General features: G+C 38.1%; 1 long non-coding RNA gene across 1 annotated transcript, besides 1 other annotated feature; it reads left to right on the top strand.

Moving 5' to 3' along the window:
- Positions 761–1552: an enhancer, noted in NCBI's record as "OCT4-NANOG-H3K27ac-H3K4me1 hESC enhancer chr18:52274507-52275298 (GRCh37/hg19 assembly coordinates)". NCBI's record gives its function as "activates a minimal SCP1, AML or CMV promoter by ChIP-STARR-seq in naive H9 embryonic stem cells {active_cell/tissue: H9 hESC(naive)}" and the evidence as "EXISTENCE:reporter gene assay evidence [ECO:0000049][PMID:30033119]".
- On the top strand, positions 1721–4103 carry LOC124904308 (uncharacterized). Its single transcript, XR_007066380.1, has 2 exons — positions 1721–1918; positions 3894–4103. It is a non-coding gene; the product is annotated as an uncharacterized LOC124904308 (long non-coding RNA).
- The last annotated feature ends 4856 nt before the right edge of the window (positions 4104–8959 follow it).

Here is an 8959-nt window from a genome sequence, read left to right as displayed (position 1 = left end):
TAAGTTAACTATGATACATCTATCCAGCAGTGAATTCAATTCAGTAATTATGATTTCCCATTGTATGCTACGCCTTTCGGAGTATATATTTATATAAAACAATAATATTAACCGTGCCAACATTTGACTGAAAAAATATCTAATTTCTTTCTTATGAGCCTTCCTCACAAGAAAATGACTCTGTAATCCATATAAAATTTCTTCCATTAACATACTAGTGTGTTACTGTTGACATATATTACAATTCCCAAAGAGAAGAAGATGAATCATTTGTTTTGGCAAAAGTTCAAACCACTTGGTAAAATTATTAGGAAACTCTAGTGGCAACCACCAAAACCACTTTCAGTGCTGTGTTGTTCCTCCCAACATCTCTCAGGTACAGTTTTTCTTAGCCCCAAAACATTGTTTGAGTAAAGGTATCCTACCTCCTACTGAAAAGGAAAAAAGAAAGCAAACTTATAGCTTACTTGTCAGCTTCCTACTTAAAAGCATTCCTCCAGCCTATCGATTCGTGGAATGACTCAATTATTTCTTGTTTAATTGAAGTGTAATATGTATGAGAACACAGAAATTATCTAGCCCCATTTTCTCATTTAACAGATTTGCAGAATTGTGGCAAAATGGAGGTTCACTGACAACCATGGTCACCTTTCATGACTTTTTGTCCGTTTAGTTTCACTTTAAACATTTACTAAGTCAGAAGCTGTCATTTCTTTGAGAAGTTATAGGTAAGTAAACAAATTGAAAAAAATTATCAGCATGAGTTGAGAAGACAGTTCATCTAAAATGAAGTAGAAAGATGGGGTAAGAAGATCCCCTTCCTAATTGGAAGTAGGCTGACTTGGCAATTTTAATTGTGTGTAGTGCGTAAATAAGTTCTACTAGGTGAGTTCCAATTATAGTTACGTTTTTACTCCAGAAAATCCAGGTTTTTCTTTGAACTGGAAATCCTGCTCACAATCTGCATTCTCCGCTCAACCATGACTGGAACTTGACAAAGGCTCTATAATCATGCAAACATTTCCTGGTGACTTCACCTTCTAGTTTCGATTTCTAGTCGGACAAATGAAGAGATCTGTTGTAATGCGAAACTTTGGCATTTTGCATTTAGTTTGTTTAACACTGTTGCATAATGCGTTTCACCAGAGGTGAGTTAGTTGGCAAGACTTGATTCATTAAAGATAATCAGTTATTCATTTATTCATTCATTTAACAAATACCTACGGACATCGGATTTGTGCCAGCTAAAGTCATATGCTGAGTGCTGTGGATTCAGAGCTAAAAGCCAGTGAGCTCAGCCTGGAGAGGACACTGATACTCAAGCAGGTGATTCCACTGTGGTGTGGCATGTATTACCTCTGTGGGAACTCAAAAGAGGTGTGGCAGATCTGTCAGAGTGGTGGAAGAAGCTATAGGGAAAGAAGCAGGCCTTTTGAAAGGTCAGAAGGCTCTGCAAAGTTTCAGGGGACAATAAGCTGAAGGCAGCTGTTCTCTTACCCTGGGGCAGAGGGTGAGACACAGGTACAAGGAAATAACAGGGGAATTTATCTCAATAGGCTTGTTTACCCATGTTGTCCAGAAACCCACCTTTGACCATCCACGCACGACTGCTCCCTGTAAGGGGGAACAATAATGTTAATTACCTGCAGATTGTGTTTGCTCCAGGCTTTCGGCATTATGTCTGTACTAAATAAAACCATGCAGTGCTAGCTTATCAAGTCTGCTCTCTCTTCAGCCCCTAGTGCGGGCAAGTCCCTTAGCAGCTCTTACACTGCATACCTGTGTCTGAGTACTCCTTTCATCCATCGCTCAGCCAGGGTGTGTGGGACAGACCTGGCAGCTGGTGCCTGCTGTGAGAAACACTACAACGGATTGCAATGGAACCCTCAAAAATGAGGGTGAAGAGTCTGCGCCGTCCGTAAGTCATTGATGCCCAGTCGGGCTTTCCATGTTCGGGGAAATTTTCAAGCTAGGGTTTCATCATGGGACAACAGTTACCCACTTGACAGAAACAGTATATAAAAGTATTGAAATAGCTGCTTAAAGCTAGTGGAGCCTCAGTTTCGCAGGTTCAATTAAGGGACCTAATGCAAACTGTTGTTTCCAATAACCCATGGTTCCCAGAAGAAGGCACGCTAGACCTAGAACTCTGGGAACAAGTGTGGAGAAATCTTAAACAACATCATGCACAAGGGCAACAGGTCCCAGTAACATCTTTAATGTTATGGGCATTAGTTAGGGCTGCTTTGGCCCCGCTCTACACAGAAGAGCCTAAAAAGGGAAGGGAAGAGGAAGCATCACCTACCTTACTGCCTCCTCCTCCTCCCTCAGCCCTGCCATTACTGGGTAAAGATATAAAAGAGGAAACAGAGGTTTCTCTGGAGCCCCCCTCCCCAAATAAATTGGAAAAAAGACAAGGGATACACTACAGTTATGGGACCCTGTCTTAGGCGAGTGGCATTAGAAGGGGAGCTCTTGGCCTGCCCGGTGATGCAAGATCAACAAGGCGATTGGGTATATGAACCCATTACTTTTGACACTTATAAAGAGATAAGGAAAAGCATTAGAGAAAACGGAGCCGCTAGCCCATATATGAAAGGATTAATCGAGGCCATGGCAGACAGTTTCCATATAACCCCATGGGACTGGTCAGTATTAGCTAAAACAACTTTAGAAGCCAGTCAGTACCTCCTCTGGAAAGCAGAATTTGATAAATTGTGTGGACAACAAGCCAACCAAAATCAATTGGCCAGGCAAAACATAACAGCTGCAATGCTCCAGGGAAGGGGTCCTTATGTTATTATACAACCTCTAATCATGCCCATCCCTGTTAATCTTTGGGGATGGGACCTATTAGCCAAATGGGGGGGTCACTCTGCAGACCCCCTTCTAATAATGGCCACTGTTGTTATTCCTCCCCTACCCCTGATGTAGCTCTCTCAAAATCCTATTTGGGTAGAACAGTAGCCTTTAAAGGGAGAGAAATTACAAAGAGCCCATGAATTAGTTGAGGAACAATTAAAAGCCAGCCATATAGAACCATCAAACAGCCCTTGGAATTCGCCCATTTTCATCATTCCCAAAAGGTCTAGTAAATGGAGATTTTTGCACGGCCTACATGCTATCAGTGCTAATTTGCAACGCATGCGGCCCTTTCAACAGGGGCTCCCTTCCCCACGGCGATTCCTCCAGATTGGTCTATAGTCATTATTGACTTAAAAGACTGTTTTTATACTATTCCCCTTGCAAAACAGGACAGAGAAAAATTTGCGCTTGCAATACCAGCTATCAATAATGAAAGGCCAGCTTGCCGATTTCATTAGAAAGTACTCCTCAAGGAACGCTGAACAGTCCTACTATGTGTATCATAGAAATCAGGTTTTGATTCCCAGTAGAAAAGAATTTCCTAATTGCAAGATCATCCATTTTATGGACGATGTCTTACTGGCAGCCCCAACAGAGCCAACACTTTTGCGTCTATATGCCTCTGTCAAAAAGAATTCACAGTTAAGAGGTTTAATCATAGCACCTGAAAAAGTACAGATGTCCTCTCCTTGGAAATATCTTGGATACATACTAACTTCCCAGTCAGTAAGACCTCAGAAGGTTAAATTAAATACTAACAACTTACACACCTTAAATGATTATCAAAAATTACTCGGCGATATTAACTGGCTTCACCCCACCTTGGGCATAACTACTGACAAGTTACAAAACCTGTTTTCTATACAAAAGGACAATGCAGCCCTGAACTCCCCTCAATATTTAACTGCCACTGCAAAAAGAGTCTATCCTCTCCTGGATAGACCTCCACTCCTGGGGACCACTCTTTGATTCGAAAAGAATATTACTGATTATACTCATGTTTGTCTCATGTTATTTACTAATTCTAGGATGCAAAGCTGGAAAACGAGCTGTAGCCGCTACACCTGACAAACCCGTTGCTGCACATATATGTACTCTTCAATCAACAAGACCTGATGCAAAAAACAGAAAAGGGGAAGATGTGAGGGATCAGTCAGAGTGGTGGGCTCAAGAGTGGACTTAATGAGGGCTGTCTCAAGGTTCTGTAATAAATAAACAGAGTAAGCAGTCACTAACAATATTGATATGCTGAGTGGAAAAGGTTTCTACGGCTAATATTAGGGCTCCAACCTCAGCTCTTTGAGTGCTAGTAAATCCAGATAGAGTGAGGGAGTTATGTGGTTCCCACCAGACAGCTGCTTTTCCATTTTTACCAGAGCCATCGGTAAAAAGCATTAAAGCGTTAGGTATGGGGGTGTGAACTACCTTTGTAGGCATAGCTACAGGAATATGAGATAAGAACTGAAGTAGTTTGTCAGCAGGAAGGCCATGTTCTATACAGCCCGCATAATCAGAGAGTGCTATCCTGAGGGTCTAGAGGTAGGAGCAGGACTGCTTTGAATTGTTTTTTACTTAAGGGAATTCTTATGACATCAGGGTCATAACCTAGCAATTATTTGCATCATCTGCAGCCTGTATAGATGACTTTACTAACTAGCTGGACATAGCGAGATAGTGTTTTGGTCCCGGTATATGAGCAAAAAACCCACTCTAGGAAGCGTAGCCCTGGGGCCATCTGTCCTGTTAATTCTGTTGGGGAATGATTAGTAGGAAAAACAAACAATTGGAATGAATATCGTGGGTCTATGCAATCTAGTTGCCTCTGAGAAATAGCTTGCTCTGTTTCCTGTATGAAACCCACTTGATCGTGGTGGATTATCTTTTTGATACCACCTGTTCCCCAATAACCTATGGAAATCAAAAAAAATTTTTTAAAATAAAGAACAGTATCTGGCACACAGCAGGAGTTCAATAAATATTTAAGAAAAGAAAAACTTTTTGTGTAACCAAACACCACCTGTTCCCCAAAAACCTTTTGAAATAAAAAAATAAAATTTTAAAAAAGATTACATTATTAAAAAATAAATAAATAAAAAAGAAGACTGGGTGCGGGGGCTCATGTCTGTAATCCCAGCACTTTGGGAGGCCGAAGCAGGTAGACCGCTTGAGCCCAGGAGTTTAAGACCAGCCTGAGCAGCATGGTGAGACCCCATCTCTACAAAAAATACAAAAAAATTGGCTGGGCATGCTGGCACATGCCTCTGATCCCAGCTACTCAGGAGGCTGAGGTGAGAGGACCACTTGAGCACAGGAAGTCAAGGCTGCAGTGAGCCACAAACGTGCCACTGCATTCCAGCCTGGGTGACAGAATGAGACCCTGTCTCAAATGAGTTTTTAAAAAGAGGTAAAATCAATATATTTTATAAATTTAATTATGGGTTAGCCCAATTTCTGAAATTAAAGTTTCAGCTAATGGGATTTTCAATGTACATAGCTTTTGTGATTAACTTAGATTATTCTAATAGCTAAAAATATCCACTAGTGTAGCTAACCATGTATTGGGGAATCTAAGCTTGTATAATTTACACATGAATTAGGTATATATTTTATCAAAACTATACAATGTTGAGTCCCTCCTTGCCAATGGGTAACACAGTGCTTAATGACACTTTAGCCAGTCTATAATTTTTCTTTCTTTTGTTATTAACAGTCTTATTTTGGCATTTAGGCCCCAATCTTGACCAACTAAAATAAAAATAAAAACAAATCCTTTAATCTCAAATTCAATTCACTACTCATTTCCTTCCTTTCTCCATCTGGGTCCATATTATTTTCTCCAGTATCTCTAAGATACTGAGGATGTACCAAGGATAGCGCACAGATCATAGTGGGTGTGGGAATCTTTTATCTGAGTCACCTCTTCCCCTTCTCTCTTATAAACTCTAGCTCCCACCAGTTGGGAGCAGGGAAGAAGGATAACAAAGGCAAAAGTGGTTTAGCTGTGATTCCAGACAGCTTCACCCTTTGCTGGTGGGCTATACCCATATGGTCTTCACTGTATGAGGGGCATGTACAATTTTTGGGGTGGGTGCTGTATTCAGCTTCACTCCAGCCCCTCTGTAGCTGAAGACCCTGTTAAACTCTACTAATGTCCTTAGCACTACCAGCAATCTCAACATATCCAGGAGTCTTTTCCTTACCCCAGAGGCTGACAAGGTCAAATACTTCTGCCCCTTCATTAACCCCATGCTCCTTTATCTGTAGCTAAGGTTACTCAGATTCTCTTCCTACCTTTAAGAGCCTCACAGATGCTGCCATCGGGGGATGTTGCCATGGCTTTCTTAAGTAGATTCCAGTAAGGTCCCTTTAAACCCTGCTGGTAAGGTTACTCCAACCAATGAACCAACTTTCTTCCTTCTCTCCTTCCTCCCTGTTTTCATGCTTTCCTTCCTTCCCACCAGCAGTGCTAATCAGTTCCAGCCACTCTGCTCTGCTCCTTGCTAGCACTTGCTGTTCAGTAGTTTTTACCGTCAAGGTTTCTTATTTTGGTTTGTTTTGTTTTTTTTTAACTATTATAATAGTGCAGTATGTCTCACTGTGGTTTTAATGACTAATAATGATGAGCATCATTTTGTGTAGTTACTTGCCATGCATATGTTTTCTTTGATGAATTGTCTGTTCAAATCATTCGCTTATTTTAATAGGTTGTCTTTTTGTCTATTGGTATGAATTCTGCATATATTCTAGCTATAAGTCCAGTGTTAGATATTTTGTAAATATTTTTCCCAATTTGTAGGTCAAATTTTCATTTTACTGAGAGTGTTTTTTGAGGAGGAAAAGTTACTAATTTTGGTGGAGTCAATTTATAATATTTTCTTTTATGAATTGTGCTTTTGTTATCAAATACAAGAAATGTTTGCCAAACCAAAGACCACAAAGATTTTCTCTTATGTTTTCTTATAGAAATTTCCTAGTCCTAGGTTTTACATTTAGGTCTATAATCTATCTTGAGTTACTTTTTGAAAGTGTGGGAAGCATGAGTCAAGGATCTTTTTAAAAGATATGCATATTTACATACACTGAAAAATTAGACAGTTGTACATATGTGTGTATGTGTATAAAATTGCCCAATTGTTCAGCACCAACTATTGAAGACTATTCTTTTCTCACTGAATTGCCTTTGGACATTTGTCAAAGTTGAATTAACCATATGTTTGTAGATCTCTTTCTAGATTCTCTATTCTGGTCCATTGATCTATGCTTCTTTCCACTTACCAATAAAACATTCTTGATTGCTGTAATTTATGGTAAGTCTTGAAATCATTACTGTGATTCTTTCAGCTTTTCTTTTTCAGAATTGTTTTAGCTATTCTAGTTCCTTCCCATTTCCACATAAAGTTTAAAACCAGTTTCTTGATTTCACAGAAAATATTCCTGATATTTTGATTGGGATTACACTGAAACTCCAGACCAATGTGGAGAAATCTGAACATCTCAACATTGACTCTTCCAATCCATTAACACAGTATATTTCTCTATTTAGGTCTTCTCTGATTTCTTTCAAAAGTGCTTTGTAGTTTTCAGCAGATAGCTCTTGCACATATTCAGTTAGATTTATATCTATGCATATCATGTTTTGTGCTATTGTAAATGGTACTAGCAACTCTAATAGTACACAGAAATACAATTGATTTTTGTCTGTTGACTTTACATCCTACACCTTTACTCAACTTGTTAATTGTAGAAGCTATTTTGAAGATTCTATGGATTCTCTTATTTTTTATTTTTATTGGTGGAGAATATAATCTATTTTTATTATATTTACTGATATATTAATATATTTCTTTTTTGATATTTATTTTTTAAAGATTAAGATATGATTGATGAAAAATTTGTATATTTTATATACTTATGGTGGAAAACATGTTTTATTTTTTTTCATAAACACAGCAATTCCCAGGAATACAATATGGTGTTTTCATATAAGTATACCTTTGTAATGATTCCCGCAATTGAGCTAATTAACATATTTTTTCACCTGACATAATTATCATTTTTCTTGTGTTTGTGTTGGGAACACTTGAGATCTATTACCTTAGCAATTTTCAAGTATGCAATACATTATTATTAACTATAGATACCATACTGTCCATTAGATCTCTGGAACTTATTCATCTTATAACTGATAGTTTGTACCCTTTGACCCGTATCTGCCTATTTTCTCTATCCGCCATCCACTGGCAACCACCTTTCTACTCTCTGTTTCTCTAAGTTTGACTAGTTTAGATTCCACATGTAAGTAATATCAAGCAATATTTGTCTTTCTGTGTCTGGTCTATGTTATTTAGCATAATAGACTCCAAGTTAATTCATGTTGTTGCAAATGTCAGGCTTTCGTCTTTATAAAAGCTGAATAGTATTCCATCGTGCATACATATATAGTATATATGTATCATATATATGATAAATTGTGTGCATATATATATAAATTGTGTGTATATATATATACACATATGTACATGTGTGTACATATACTTTATATACACATGTACATATGTATGTATGTATATAAGATTGCTCAATTGTTCAGCACCAACTATTGAAAAGACTATTCTTTTCCCACTGAATTGCCTTTGGACATTTGTCAAAGTTGAATTGACCATATGTTTGTAGATCTCTTTCTAGATTCTCTATTCTGGTCCATTGATCTATGCTTCTTTCCATTTACCAATATAACACTCTTGATTGCTGTAATTTATGGTGTGTATACACACACACACACACATTGGAATATTATTCAGCCTTTAAAAGTCTGAATATAGACAAATATTTTATATATATATATATATATATATATATATATATATATATATATATATCTCAATCACATGTTCTTTATCCATTCATTCACTGATGGAAGCTTAGATTGGTCCCATATCTTGACTACTGTGAATAATACTGAAGTGAACATGGAAGTGCAGATATCTCTTCAAGACACTGATTTCATGCCCAGCAGTGGGATTGTTGGATCATATGGTAGTTCTGTTTTTAATTTTTTGAGGAACCTCCATACTATTGTCCATAATGGCTTTAT

This window comes from Homo sapiens, chromosome 18 (genome assembly GCF_000001405.40).
Source record: "Homo sapiens chromosome 18, GRCh38.p14 Primary Assembly".
NCBI lineage: Eukaryota > Metazoa > Chordata > Mammalia > Primates > Hominidae > Homo > Homo sapiens.
The sequence above is the reverse complement of the archived record's forward strand: the minus strand, read 5'-3'. Positions and strand labels throughout refer to the sequence as shown.